The following is a 6,000-nucleotide window of genomic DNA, read 5'->3' on the forward strand; positions in this document are numbered from 1 at the left end:
CCCGGGTGTTGAGGGAGGAAACTGGTGGGAAGTGATTGGATCTTGGGAGTGGTTTCCCCCATGCTGTTCTCATGATAGTGTGTGAGTTTTCGTGAGATCTGATGGTTTATAACTGACAAGTTCCCCCTTCACTCTCTCTCTTCTTTCCTGCCACCATGTGAAGAAGATGTCTGCTTCCCCTTCCGCCATGATTGTAAATTTCCTGAGGCCTCCTCAGCCATGCAGAACCATGAGTCAATTAAATGTATTTCCTTTATAAATTACCCAGTCTTGGGTATTTTTTATAGCAGTGTGAAAACAGATTAATACAACATCATATACACAGAATCACGCAGTATTTGTTCTTCTGTGACTGGCTTATCTTACTCAGCAAAATGCCCTCCAGGTTAATCCATGTTGTCACTTACAACAGGATTTGCTTCTTTTGTAAGGTGGAATGACATTCTGCTCTATGTATATACCACATGTCCTTTATTTAGTCATCCATCAGTGGACATTTTTAATTCGGCCAATGCCATCTTGTTTTTAATCTTTGGTGCCTAATTGTCTTACACTTAGAATTTCCCCACTTTGAAATTACTTAAGAATATTTAAAATATTTTATAAGGTTTTAATATTTTAAATCAATGTGATTTAGTCAAAATTCAAGTCTTAACTTAGGTAAAATCTATATGCAATGAAAAGAGTATTGTAAGTGTACAGAATAACGAGTTTGCAGAAATGTATGCAACACGTAACTATACCCTGATCGAAATATGGAAGATTCCTGTCACCCCAGAAATGTTATTGACTTTTTAGATGAAGGCCAACACAATTCTAGTGTTTCATTTAAGGGAATCATGCTGTCTTTACTCTTCTGCGTCTGGCTTCATTCATTCTGCATTAAGCTTTTGAAATTTACCCATGTAGATGTGTGTGTCACAAGTTCAATACTAAGTTGCATTCTGTTTTAGGGATAGACCACAATTTATGTATTCACTGGCTGGTTGACATATGGGCTATTTTCATTTTGAGGCTTTTAAAAATAAAGTTTAATGAGCATTCAAGGACAGACCAGTATAGTATTTCAAGTATGGTATTTCAGTACTCACTGAAAAATAACCTCATAATGTATCTAGGACCTAATTGTCTTTCATGACAAAAAATAAATATTATCTGCAAATGTCATTAAATGGACGATCTTGAGATGAAGTAATTATCCTGGATTATCTGGATGGACCCTAAATTGCCAAAACAAGTGTCCTTATAAGAAAAAGACAGTGGGGGCTGGGCATGGTGGCTCATGCCTGTAATCCCAGCACTTTGGGAGGCCGAGGTCCAGGGATTACCTGAGGTCAGGAGTTCAAGACCAGCCTGGCCAACATGGTGAAACCCTGTCTCTACTAAAAATACAAAATTAGCAGGGCATGGTGAATGCGTCTGTAATCCCAGCTACTTGGAAGGCTGAGACGGGATAATCACTTGAACTCAGGAGGCAGAGGTTGCAGTGAGTCAAGATCATGCCATTGCACTCCAGCCTGGGTGACAGAGCGAGACTGTCTCAAAATAAATAAATAAATAAATAAGAAAAAGAAAGAGTCAGTGTGAGACAGCATACACAGGCTGAAGAAGATGCAGTGTGGCCATGGAGGTGATGGAGGTGGAGGTTAGAGCACTGACAGCCATCAGTAGTGGAAGAAGCAAGAATCTGGCATTCTTTACTAGAGCCTCTGGAAGGAGTGCAGCCCTGCTGACACCTTGATTTTGGCCCACTGAGACTGATTTTGGGCTTCTGGCCTCAAGAACTATGAAGGAAAAATAAATCGTGTTAAGCCACCAAGTTTGTGGTAATTTGTAACAATACTATGGAAAAGCAATGCATGCATGCATATTTTTATCTGTCTGGGGTTCATACCTAGAAGTAGAACTTCTGGGTCATGAAGTAAGTATGTGTTTACTTTGACAAGAACTATAAAGCTGATTTCCAAAAAAAAAAAATATATATGAATGTACAAGAAGTAAAGTGTGAGCTCTGGTTACTCCACATCCCTGAAAACTACACATAAGCTAAGAATACAAGTTGACCAAGATAAGCCACCATGCAAGCCATTAATCCTACTTCTAACTGTTTACCTAAGGAAAATAAGAACATATATGTTCACAGAGACCTACATGTGAACGCTCATAGAAGACTTAATAGCCCATAATTGGAAAAAAAAAGGTCATTGACTACAGAATGGATAAACAATGTTTAAACACATATAATATCAACATAACGTTTTGATGTTGACCTTGATCTCATGGCTGAATAATTTTATAATTGAAGTGCTTAGATTATTTGCACATGATGGAATTAATACTGAACATGAAAACATCACCATACTAGTAATTATTTTTAATTGGCTCATCTTTTCAGTTTCCCCCTCATTTTTATTTTCTTTAAAATAATTTTTTATGGATGATTTTCTTACTTTTGATGATTTACTAGCAATTCCTCCTTTTTTGTTGTTTTGTACTTTAAATTTTATAGCATTAAATATAATTTTTAGGTTATGAAGTCATTTGTTTATTGTACTACATTTACAAAGAAAGGAGATAATGCACTCAGTAGAAAGAATAAAAATGGGCTGGGCGCGGTGGCTCACACCTATAATCCCAGCGCTTTGGGAGGCTGACATGGGCGGATCACGAGGTCAGGAGATCAGGACCATTCTGGCCAAATGGTGAAACCCCGTCTCTACTAAAAATACAAAAATTAGCCGGGTGTGGCTTTGCACATCTGTAGTCCCAGCTACTTGGGAGGCTGAGGCAGGAGAATTGCTTGAACCCAGGAGGTGGAGTCGGCAGTGAGCCAAGATCACACCACTGCACTCCAGCCTGGGCGACAGAGTGAGACGCCATCTCAAAAAAAAAACAAAAAAAAAAAACAAAAAAAAACAATTAAAATGTGTTCAGGGGTCTATCTTTAAAGGACAGCAAATAGAAATCCTTTAGTGAGATCATGGCAATTTGACAATATTATTATTAAGTTCAGTAACGGCACGTGGTGTACGTGGAAGATCAGGTTCCACAGGTGCAGCTTTCTACATCTTCTAATTCATCTGGTTCCTTAAATGATAGTGGAGAAAGCCCTTATTTGCTGGAGAAGCATTTCCAAATGAAGTTACAGGTTCTCTCTCCTTATTAAAATGTCCTGTCAATTATGAAAACTGGGCCTTTTGTTTCTATGTTTTCTGGTCTGGCTATAACACCCTGCTGACATTTGGAGTTCAGCATGTATGGCCTTTGAGCTGGCTACAGGTGACTCCTTGCTTGAACCCCTTTCAGGGAAAGAGCACACTCAAGATGAAGATCACATTGCATTGATCACAGAACTTCTGGGGAAGGTGACTCACAAGCTCACTGTGCCAGGGAAGCATTCCAAGGAATTTTTCACCAAAAATGTGACCTGAAACACATCACAAAGCTGAAAACCTTGGGTTTTTTTGAGGTTCTACTGGAGAAGTATGAGTGTTTCTCAGGAAGAGGCAGCTGGCTTCACAGATTTCTTACTGCCCATGGTGAAGCTGATCCCTGAGAAGAGAGCCATTTCTGCCAAGTGTCTCTGGTGCCTTTGGCTCAACTCCTAAGCCCCTGCCCAGCACCAGAGCAGAGATCAAACACTGACCCTCCACCCCTCCCCTCCAAGCATTTTCCTCTTCCCTTTTCAGGGTGAAGCTCTTCCTTCAAGGGTATATATAAATATCACATATATATGTGTGTGTATATATATATCACATATATGTGTGTATATCACATATATGTGTGTATATATATCACATATATGTGTGTGTGTATATATATCACATATATATGTGTGTGTGTATATATATCACATATATATGTGTGTGTGTATATATATATATATCACATATATATGATACATATGTACTTGAAGAAAGGTATATGTAGGAAGGTACAGGACATCTTAGGTGAATTTGGCCTTGATTGGACTCTGCCAAAGACTAGTGGACTCAAATGTGAAACTGCCTCTTGCCCTGTACCCTTGCCTTCCCATTAGGACTTCCTTGAAATTGCAAGCGTCCTTTTTAAGAAAAGCTATGAAGGTAAGTGAGCCCATCCTTTTACTCATTGACTGTAAGAGTAAAGTTTTCTAGTGCAGATCATATTGCCAGCAGAAGGATGAGGAGGGGAAAGGGTGTTAATTCTTTGTACAGCATTAACAGACAGGGACACTAAACTTGCAGTTTCTAGGCTGTAGTATAATTTTTAATTTATTTCAGTCTTCAAAGAACATTGTGTCAGTTACAGTGTAAAGAGCTTACAGCTGCGGATGCCATTTTCTCTCTCAGCTCTGTGCTATTGTGCTCCTACATGCTACTTCATTGTAGGTGCCAAACACAACAAAAAATATTTATAGTTAATTTTTTGGCTCTCATTGTTTAATTATCTTTTAAAGACTTTAAATAACTAATGTTAATTTATTTTCCATGTACCCGTATTAAGACTGTGAGGTAGTTTTCATTCTTTGTGCATGTTCGTGTTTCCATCTGGTGTCATTTTCACTCTATCTAAAAGACTCCTCTTAATTTTTTTTAAGTACAAGTGTACTGGTGATGAGTTTTTTCAGCTCCAATATTTCTAAAAAAGATTTCATTTGGCTTTCTGTCTTGAAATCTGTTTTTTCCTGGTTCTGTTTGGTTGTCCCTCTCAGAAACTCTCAAGTACTACTATGCTAGGGCAATTATAGGGCTGATTTTTTAGTTTCTCTTTACTCAGTAAACTCTGCCTTGCTCTGACTGATGTCCAAGGTCTGAAAATTATTATGTAATGTGTTTTTCCAAATTGGTTTGTTGTTCAACAAGGGAGAGTACATCCACCTCCTATTACTCCATCTTAGATACACCTGGATTCTCTCCCGCCCAGAAAGTTCTTATTTAAAAACTGGACATCCCAGGTAATACGCTGTAAAGAGACTTGGGCTCTTATTTTTTGGAGGCTTTTATTATTGTTGCCATTGTATTGCTTGTTAGTTGTTTTGGTAACTTGCTTGGAGCCCAGCTGTAAGATCTGTTTCTCTCATGATACGCAGCTGTTAATGACTTCTTCATCACAGTCAAGCTTCCCCTAGAAGGGAGAGGCAGAAATGCTGTAAAAGCCCCATCCTAGAAGCTTGGGCACACCAGGCCTTCCTAAAATTCAGGCTACATCATGAGACCTGATAGTAGCTCCCCTGCCCCGCTGTGAGGTTTGCACCTAATACTGTGGCAGCAGTCTACTGAGTATGGAGGGGCAAGGTGTGAAAAGAGGTCCCCTCGGAGCTGTATACAGGGCCTGCTGAAAGCTGGGGCAGGAACAGAAGAAAAAGCCTCCGGCTTTGGGGGCGTCACACAAAGCAAAAGGTAGCAGAAATTATGGCAATAAAGGAACACAAATCCAGCTCAACCACTGGCTAGGTTGCCTCAGGCTCCCACATTGAAAGCCCCTTAGACTCAGGACCTTCAGATTATGAGACTGACATGTTGCATATTGCATTAAGGAGGCAATTAATACTTCATGATCTCACTTATACATGGAATCTAAAAGCATGCTAATCTCATAAAGGTTAACAATAGAATGAAACCAAAATAATATGCTGTGGAATGTATATTATATTGTTTGTGTACCTGTGTATTACTATGCATATTTGTTTTTTACTTGATGCATTGTATTATACACTGTAATTAAATATACATTCAGGCATTATGTGTGCAGTTTAGTGTGTTGTAATGACATTGTGTATATTTAGTTTTAGCAGACTATTTTTCTTTTTCGTCTTCATTTTAAAGTGTGCAATTAGATTTAGTTCAGTTACTGCAAAATGTTAGCAGAAGATGTTGGGCCCTGGTGAAATGGGAAATGAAGATTATGGTCCCCAGAGGTGGCAAATTAGAAATTTAAAGCACATGAGAATATATATTTTTAGTGTTACGTATTTTAAAATTTATAATTTAAAAATATTTTTAATATTGTCCATAATAC

Source organism: Homo sapiens, chromosome 18, assembly GCF_000001405.40.
Source record: "Homo sapiens chromosome 18, GRCh38.p14 Primary Assembly".
Lineage (NCBI taxonomy): Eukaryota > Metazoa > Chordata > Mammalia > Primates > Hominidae > Homo > Homo sapiens.